This window comes from Homo sapiens, chromosome 12 (genome assembly GCF_000001405.40).
Source record: "Homo sapiens chromosome 12, GRCh38.p14 Primary Assembly".
Lineage (NCBI taxonomy): Eukaryota > Metazoa > Chordata > Mammalia > Primates > Hominidae > Homo > Homo sapiens.
The window spans coordinates 41,796,638-41,806,108 of NC_000012.12; positions in this window are offsets into that span (position 1 = coordinate 41,796,638).

The window sequence follows — 9,471 nt, forward strand, 5'->3', positions numbered from 1 at the left end:
GTATTTTCTATATGAAATCCTGACTGTCGGCAATTCCTCGTACCACATAAGGTGCTCCACTTTCCAGGCTGGATCCTGACAGTAAAGCATGGTGGAAGGTGATGGTTTAGAGGAGGGAACGGTGGGGTGTTGAGAAAGTAAAGGAAACCTGGGTCTGTAGAGAGGTCTGAATCTTCCATTTGATGATCAACTAGAGGTGAGGATTAGACCTGCAGTGTCCAATTGGGCAGCCTTTAAAACATGGCTAGCCTGAGCAAAAGACTGAATGTAAATTATTTGTCGATAATCGTTTTGGTTATTGAAAAACTTTTTAGTGTGTTTGGAACAACGTAAGTAAGTGAATCTACTTTTTTAACTGTAAGTTTTATGAAATCTACGTAGATAGCAATTATCTCTGATGAAATGTTACCATACAAAAAGATAGGCTATGAATAAAAAAGAATGTAAACACCTCAATTTTTTACAAGAATTTTATGTTGAAATGATACCATTCTGAATATAGCATGTTGAATTAAAGGTATTACTGAAGTTAATTTCACCTTTTTTAACTTTTTGAAAGTGGCTACTAAAAATTTTAAAGTTGCATCTATGGTTTGCATCATACTTCTACTGGAAAGCACAGCTCTAGGTTCTTATTTCTCATACCCGCAATGTTCATGTTTTTCATCTAAACACATTGTATTTGTTACTGTTCATTTGTTAGCATATAACAAAAGCCAACTCTGGATAGCTTAATAAAAACAAATTGCAAGATACACAGACAACAACAGCAAGCAGAGTTGAAACTTGAATTAAGAACAGTCCTATAAGAAAGCCTGAAGCACACGGCACTAGGCTGAGTTTGGTACCAAAGGACTCAACCTCTACATACTTTCTAACTTCCCAACACGTTATTGTTTGGCCAGATGGCAAGCCAAATAACAGAAACACATAAATAGCAGAAACCAGATAAATGACTATCCCTCTATATTCAGCCTAACAATTGCAGATAATTAGCTTATGATGTCTGAATCATTCAATATGCTTTCAAATTTCACAACAAAGCCATCCAAATGATTACAACTCATTTGTTATAAGTCAAGGTTCGCCAGTAAAATGGGAGTGAGGATTCTGGGTTTGAGGTTGTGAGGAAAGAAATATAGAAAGATAGCATCAGCAATTATACCATACCCTTAAATCATATGTTTCTACATATTTCCACAAGACAGGCTTCCTATTAAGGTTGTCTATTTTCTAATTCTAAGAAAACTAGTTTTATACAGAAGTTTTCTATGTTATAGCCAATATGTCTCCATTACAATTCTTTAATTTCTGTAACAACATAAAGACCAATCAAGTAATATGCAAATTCTTATTAAATGTCTACTATGAAACAAAGCACTGGAGGAGGGGATATGGGCATTGAGGAGACAACAATGTGTTCTTGGCAAGAAACTTGCAAACAAGAGAAAGAGAAAATACAGAATACTACAACTTTGGCTTTGGAAGGGACTTTGGAGGTCACCTAATACAATCTTCTAGTCTGTGGATAATTCAACCCCTGCAACTCTCCCCAGGAGTGTTCAGCTTCTGCTTAAAGCTGCTTAAACAGGGAAACAGAATTCACTGCCTTAGAAGCCTGTCTATTCCATTTTTGTACTGCTTTTATTTTTAGCCAGATCTTTGTGCAAAATCAAAAAATGCACCATTACAATTTCTACTCACTGGTCCTTTTTCTTTCTTTACGAACAATAGCCCTTCAAGTATTTAAAGTCCCTATCATATCCCCTGTCCTTTTTTTATGGACGGCATTGCCATAGGATGCTTTGTGATGGGAAAAAAAAAAGAGTATTCCATGGTGAAATAAACTTAGAAAAATAGAGTATATTCTAATCCTGTTTTGAAAATACACTTTTTGTTCCTTGAAACTATGAGCATTCTAGCAGTAAGAAAACCCATCTACCTGCACTACAGCAAGCACTTTCCAAACCCATTTGACCACAAAAATCTTATTTCTCCCAATTTCACCTTAACATCACACAGAATTACAGTGCAATAGAAAATTTAGCACTTCATTTTTCATTCAACAAATACTCATTAAGCACCTACATCGCACCAGGCTTTGTGATATGTGCTGGGATCACTACAGTAGATAAAAATGATTTTTGACTTCCCAGAGCATAAAGTCTAGTATGAAAGATGAACAATTAAATGAGCAATAATATAAAAAGTTAACATAGAAATTGCTGGGGAAGTGCAATTTTATGGGAACACACTTTGGGCACTGCTGCTGTGGGCTGAACAGCCTCAGATTTTCCCTTGGTTCTTTGGACAGCATGGTTTCCAGACTCTGCCCTTCTGGTCATTGCCGTTTCCCTACTCTGGTTTGTCGACATCCGTCAGAAAGAGGACCCAAACTAAACCCAATACTCCAGGAATGATTTGACCAGGAGCACCTCAGACAAGCACTGGATGAGGGGATTTGGGTGTTTGTTTAGGACATCGAACTTTTCTTGATGGAGCCTGCTGTACAAATATAGAATGCTAAAAATAGGCCAGGCACGGTGGCTCACACCTGTAATCCCAGCACTTTGGGAGGCAGAGGAGGGTGGATCACTTGAGGCCAGGAGTTCAAGACCAGCCTGGCTGACATGGCAAAACCCCATCTCTACTAAAAATACAAAAATTAGTTGGGCGTGGTGGTGATGCCTGTAATTCCAGCTACTCTAGAGTCTGAGGCATGAGAATCACTTGAATCCAAAAGGTGGGGGTTGCAGTGAGCCGAGATTGTGTGACTGCACTCCAGCCTGGGTGACAGAGTGAGATTCTGTCTCCAAATTTTTTTAAAAAATGTTAAAAATAACAAAACAATAGCTTATTACAATAAAATGAGATATTCCAAAAAAGTTTATTAATGATAGACCAAAGAAAGCTAATTTCCATTGTGAGAGACTAGAAAAGGCTTCAAGAAATATTTGAGTTGAATCTTGATAAGAAAGTAGAATTTGGATAGGAAATTCCTTCAGAATGTTCACAGAAACATAAAAACTAAATGAGATCTGGGAAACTCAAACTTGACTTGGGCCCCCATAAGCTGCTTAGAAACACTGAAAGCAAACTCACAGTTCAGAAGCAAATTTGTGGCATCTAATCATAGATTCCAAGCTTTACAATGAAAACAGACGGCATATTAGAGGATTTATGTTTAGGGTGGCATTGACTGACCTTTCAGATGTCCTCCAGAGATCAAAGAATCTGCCTCCTCTCACCTAGTGAAATCTAGCTGGGAGTAGAAACCGAGACTGCTCATGTTGACAGTGGCTCAGGATGGGAAAGGAACACTCAGAAGACAGTGGTACCAGCTTAACTAGGAGAATCTGTACTGCAAGGAGTAGGAGGTTTAACAAAGCTTAACGAAGTGACCCTCTTATATATTAAGATGGTATCATAACTAACGTGTCATTACTATTAATAAGTAAAAGCAGCCAGGCACAGTGGCTCACGCCTGTAATCTCAGCACTTTGAGAGGCCGAGGCCAAGGTAGGCAGATCACTTAAGGTCAGAAGTTCAAGGCCAGCCTGGCCAATATGGTGAAACCATCTCTACTAAGAAAAACTACAAAACTTAGCCAGGTGTGGTGGTGGGTGCCTGTAATCCCAGTTACTCAGGAGGCTGAGGTAGAAGAATTACTTCAGCCAGGGAGGCGGAGTTTGCAGTGAGCCAAGATCATGCCGCTGCACTCCAGCCTGGGTGACAGAACAAGACTTTGTCTCAAAAATTAAATTAAATTAAAAATAAGTAAAAGCAGCCCTGAGAGTCAAATGTGAAACAGGCTCAGACAGAAGAAGTCACAGAAAGACTTCCCCCATTGCCTACCTATCCCTATAGAACCCAGTACTGTGCTTGCTAAAATTGTCCCCAGAATTCGCAAAGGAAAGAGTAGACAATTCAATCTATTCTTCTTTTTGCCCTGATTAAACACTAGAGGCTATTCAAAGCAATAGCTGGGAAGCATTTTTTATTATTACCATTATCATTCCGGTTTTCATTCCTCCATGCCTCCCATCTCCCCCATTAGCATGGATAATTGAGAGCTGGCATTTAAATCAGTAATATTTAACACTAATAGCCCGACCCTATTGCTACCTGCTAACCTCACACCATCTAACTGCACCTGGTAACTTTGAAGGACACTAATGTCCTTAACATCATAATTGGCCACAACTTATTGGTTACACATGAGAAGCCCTACTCTGTTTACTTTTAATTTGAGTTCCAGAAATGATTCTATTCATCATCATCAATGGAGAATTCACAAGGGCAAACTAAAAACTATATACTCAACACCCTGATGAAACTGAAAAATTTCAACAATCATCTGCAGGGGGTTTCTATACCCAGTTAAGCCTTCTAAAGGGTGGGCATTTCTGAATAGCATTTTTCAGATTTAATTTGGTTGTTTGACCTCAACATTTATTTATATTTTCTTACTAATAATTTTAATTTGCTGTAAAAAGGACCAGTAGAAACCAGGTATATTTTACTTTCATCCATTTATTTTACCTGCTAGGTGGAAATATAGAAGGAAGGAGAGAAGGAAGGAAGGAAGGGAGGGAGGGAGGGAGGGAGGGAGGAAGGAAGGAAGGAAGGAAGGAAGGAAGGAAGGAAGGAAGGAAGGAAGGAAGGAAAGAAGGAAGGAAGGGAAGGAAGGGAAGGGAAGGAAGGGAGGGAAGGGAGGGAAGGGAGGGAGGGAGGGAGGGAGGGAATTGATGAAGTCTGATGAAACAGAGGCAGATGAAAGAGAAGAATGATGGAGGCAGGAGAGAAACAGAGCCTACGAGCAATGTTCAGAGAAAAGCATTTGTCATAGGTCTGACATATGCATGGAAAATACAGCAAAACCTGCATTAGTTTTCTTCTGTGTGTGTGTTCATTTAATTGATGAGCTTTTCTATTGAGCCTTTTTCTATGTATGAGTTGGCAATGTTAGAATATGAATGAATACAAAAGAATATAAGAGCTTTTGTCTTGCCCTTAGATAACTGAAAAGTGATGTGTTCGAAATTTCCATCCCTATCTGTCAGGCTAAATAATGGTCCCCCAACCCCCAAAGGCATCTAGATTCTAATCCCTGGGAGCTGTGAATGTTACCCTGTATGAAAAAGACCTTTGTGGATGTTATCAAATTAAGGATCCAGAGATGAGGTTATCCTGGATTAGCCAGGTAGGCCCTAAATACAATCACATGTGTTCTTACAAGAGGAAAGTAGAGTGAGTTTATTAGACTACAGACAGAAGGTGAGAAGAGCATGTGACCAGGAGGCAGCAATTAGAGTGATGTGACTGCAGGTGAAGGAATGCCACAGTCGCCAGAGGCTGGACGAAGCAAGGAATAGATTCTCCCCCAGAGCCTCCGGAGGTAGCATGGCCTTGCTAACACCTTGATTTCAGTCCAGTGAAACTGATTTTTATCTTCTGGCCTCTAGAACTGTAAGAGAATACATGTGTGGTGTTTTAGGCCACCAAATTTGTGGTAATTTCTTACAGCAGTAATAGGAAACTAATACACCCATATCTAAACAACAGCAAGAAGTAAGCACCCAGCAGCTTCAAAAACAATTCCAAGCTGCCAAGTATTCCTCAGCAAAGGGGTTCTCTCAGAGCCTTGAGCCATAGATCTCACAAGTTCCATATGCACCCATTGCAAGACCCAAAGGAATGCACAATTCACCCTGAGAAAAGAGTTAGTACAGGAAGCCCATCCGCAGTGGAAAATGATCAAGGTGAACTGAATATATAAATACTGAGATGACACAGAATATATTTTCAAAGTCTCTTTATGAGTCAGGAAAGATAAAATACCACCAAAATTTATGAAATAATGAAACTTTAAGAAAGGATAGAAAAATAAATGAAAAAAGAAATGTTCAACGAATGGAAGACATAGGAAGAAAAAACGTCAGTATAATTATGCCCAGGATAGGTACTGATCAATAATTCTAAAGAAATTTCCAGTTTCCTTGTGAAATCCTCCCTAAGGGTGAATCAGATTTTCTTTTTTATCTTCTTCACAATGCACCGAAATGTGTAAGTCAGTGATTGAGAGGTAGCTAATTAAAATGCACTGGGAAAAATCAAAAAGCTGTGCAGCTTGCCACTGGAGTTTTCAGTAGGAGTAAAGATGCCCAGATTTGAAACAAATCATTTTAGAGAAAAGAAGGGTTATTTTCTGCAATAAATCCCCATCAGGATGGATTTTCACTCGTTCCAGCCACGGTGATGGATGGTGCTCTCTGGGCTGGCTGTGTGGATTGGATTTGGATGGGCCACCAAAAGTGCAGATGCTTATCTGAAACTTATCTGAACAAGCCAAATCTCAGAGGTCTGCAAAATTATGCTGGCATTCCTTCAAGATTAGTCTCTCTTGTGAGATGGCTGGCCTTGGGGACTTGGCTCTATGTCCAGTGAGGATGGATTTTTTTTCTTCACATTTTTTTGGCATTCCTGGTGCAGGAAAAATAAAGCATGTGTGCACACTGACATACATAATCAAGCAGAGTGAAAACTACATTACTAAGATGTTTAAACTACCTACATGTGCTTCCTGAGAGCCTACTGTGTGCCTTATGGTTCCTGCTCAAAAACAGTTTAGAATAAAGTTAAGGAAGCAAAGTCATTTATAAATTCTTATAACATTTATAATATTTACAAATATCAAAAGAAACTCCTCAATTACAAGTGGTCAAAAAAATGGAATAATCAGTATAGGTCATCTGAGAAGTATAAAGGGCATCTAAGAATAGCAATTGTGCAACTTAAACTGGACCATAATTAGAGTAAGATTTGGTACTCCAGGTAAAGACCCACTTGTGGTAAAAAGAATAACTATTATTTGATGAATGCCTACAGTATGCTAGGCAGTGTTTGAAAATACACATTATTTCATTTAATTATTTCAACAACACAGTATAGGTAAGAATCTTTACCCTCATCTTACCCATGAGAAGAGTCAAGATATGGAAAAATTCAGTTTCCCAAACTCACTTAACCAATACACAGCAGAATCGGAATTTAAAGCTAAGATTCAAAAAAAAAAAAAAAAAAAAAAAACCTCTTGATCAATATTCTCTCCAGGTGTTTTACTTTATTGATGTTTGTCAAGATGGAAAATCATGGTAGGTAGTTATTTCTGATAAACAAATCTGATGTAGTGTAGTGTAGACTAGAAAGATATAGAAAAAGGAGACTAGTTTTTTTCTTTTCTTTTTTCTTATGGCATAACAGTCACGATCTTCATTCAAGAAGGAGGATGTCTGGAAAAGAATCTTTTCTTACATGTATGTTTTTCTTGCTAAGTAAATAAAATTTTTCCTTCCTGAGGACATAAAGTAAGAAAGTCCAGTTTTAGCATGGAGCTTGCTGCATTTGCTCCATTTGTTGTATAATTGTTTAAAGGACATTCTTTGAGTATCTCCAATATGCTACGAGTTGAAGGTCAATTTTGTAGTATTAAGTTCCTTTGCATTTGTGTTCATTTCTATTGCTGCTATAACAGACTACTAGAAACTTAATGGCTTAAGACAATACAACTGTATTATCTCACGGTATCTGTAGGTCAGAAGTCCAGGTTGGCTAAGCTGCATTCTGTTCAAAGTATCACAAGGTCTAAATCAAAATTAGCAGGCACTAATTTCCTTCTGGAGGCTCTGGGACTGGATCAGCTTCCAGGATCATTCAGACTGTTGGCAAAACTCAGTTCCATGCTGCTACAGAACTAAGGTCCCATTTCCTTACTGGTTGATGGTAGGGATGGGTGCAATTCTTTCTCAGCTCCTAGAGATTGCCCACATTTCTTGAGTCATGGCACTGGCTCTCTATCTTCAAATATTGAATCCTTCTCACACTTCTAATCTCCCTGACATCCCCTTTTCCTTTTCCACATCACTCCTCTGCTACTTCCTCTTCCACCACATCTCTCTGACTTGACACTTCTACTTTCCTCCCTCTTCTACTTCTCAATGCTCTTGTGATTAACATTGGACCCACTCACATACTCCAGGTAATCTCCCTATTTTAAGGTCAGCTGATAAGTAACCCTAATTCCATCTGCAAAGTCCCTTTCCTGCAGTATGTAAGTTAGTGTTTGATTGAATAACGGGGTAGGAATCTTGGGGATACTGCTTTGGAATTCTACCACAGCATTTATTTGCTTATAGGAAATATTTTGTTTTATTAATAATAACAAATTAAATGTACTCAGTGCCACTGTGTGGTTTACATTTTTCCCTTCTACACAGTCCCACTGTCCTGGCCTCAGGAAGATTAAAGTCCTTCTATAAATATAGAGCATGAGTTTTCAGAAGATGGGAAATGTGCAAAAACAGTTACAATCAAGCAATTTTTTCAAGCAGGTAATTTAGAAAAAATACAACTTTAAAAACCAGCTTCTACATTAATTTTCATGATATTTCTTTTTGGAAGTCTTTATTTTTAATAATTTCAACTTGTCTTTTAGCTTTAGGGGGTATAAGTGCAGGTTTGTTACATGGATATATTGCCTGATGTTGAGATTTGGGATACAATAGATCCGATCACCCACATAGTGAGCACAGTACTCAATAGGTTTTCAAACCTTGCCCCCCTACCTCCTCTAGTATTCCCCATGTCTATCACTGCCATCTTCATGTTCATGTGTACCCAGTGTTTAGCTCCTACTTATAAGTGAGAACATACGGTATTTAGTGTTTTGTTCCTGTATTGATTCGCTTAGGATAATGGCCCCCAGCTCCACCATATTACTGCAAAGGATGTGATTTCATTCTTCTCTATGGCCACGTAGTATTTTATGGTGTATTTGTACCACACTTTCCTTATCAATCCACGACTGATGGGCACCTAGGTTAATTCCATGTCTTTGCTATTATGAATTGAGTGGCAACAAACATATAAGTGCATGTGGCTTTTTTTGTATAATGTTCTATTTTCCTTTGGGTATATATCCAGTAATGGGAATGCTGGGTTGAATGGTAGTTCTGTTTTAAATTATTTGAGAAATCTCCAAACTGCTTTCCACATTGACTGAATTAATTTACATTCTCAACAACAGTATATATGTGGGGTTTTTTTCCTCCACAGTCTCACCAGCATCTGTTGTTTTTTTGACTTTTTAATAACAGCCATTCTGACTGGTGTGAGATGGTGTCTCATTGTGATTTTGATTTGAATCAAATTTTGATTTTGATTTGAATCTCTATGAATATGTTAAGCACTTTTTTTATGTTTGTTGGCCACTTGTATGTTCTTTTGAGAAATATCTGTTTAGGTCTTTTGCCCACTTGTTAATTGGATTGTTCGTTTTTTGCTTGTTTAATTATTTAACTTCCTTATACATTGTGGATATTAGACCTTTGTTGGATGAATAGTTTGTGAATATTTTCTCCCATTCTGTAGGTCATCTGTCTACTCTGTTAATAGTTTATTTTGCTGTGCAGA